This window comes from Homo sapiens, chromosome 13, assembly GCF_000001405.40.
Source record: "Homo sapiens chromosome 13, GRCh38.p14 Primary Assembly".
Taxonomy (NCBI): domain Eukaryota; kingdom Metazoa; phylum Chordata; class Mammalia; order Primates; family Hominidae; genus Homo; species Homo sapiens.
This window is the reverse complement of record NC_000013.11, coordinates 42,687,243-42,688,017: the sequence shown is the minus strand read 5'-3', so window position 1 is coordinate 42,688,017 and position 775 is coordinate 42,687,243.

Genomic DNA, 775 nt, shown 5'->3' with positions numbered 1-775 from the left:
GGTTCAAGCAATTCTTCTGCCTCAGCCTCCCAAGTAGCTGGGATTACAGGTGCTCACCACCATGCCCAGGTAATCTTTTTTTTTTTTTAAGTAGAGACGGGGGTTTCACCATGTTGGTCAGGCTGGTCTTGAACTCCTGACCTTGTGATCCACCTCCCTTGGCCTCCCAAAGTGCTGGGATTACAGGCGTGAGCCACCACACCTGGCCCTCAGATTTCTGTTTTTTAGATAAATTTTATTGTGTATATTTAAGGTATACAACATGATATTGTAAGATACATACATAGCAAAATTGTTACTATAGTGGAACAAATTAATATATTTATCATGTCACCTAGTTACCCATTTTTCTTCCCTGTGTCAAGAGCAACTATAATCTACCCATTTAGCAAAATTCCTGAATACAATGCACTATTACTACTATAGTCCTCACATTGCATAAATTTTCTACTGAAATTTCTTTTCAATTCATTTCTGATTAGCTCCACTATTTCTATGAACCTACATTGTGCCTCATTTCTTGGTTTCCTTTTTTGTTTTGCTGGACTATATCCTCAAGTAATTTTTTCATGGCTAGCATGGGAAAAATATTTGCAAAACCCTTGACTATATGAAAATATCTTATTTCGACCTCATATAAAAGTGCTTTTTGGCAATGTTCTCTAGCCATTATATCAAACTGGTTATATAGCACCTATCTGCATTGTATTTTCCATAAATTCAGTGTTTCTGATTTGCTGAACCATTTTTTTTTTTAATTTAGCATGGTTCTGGT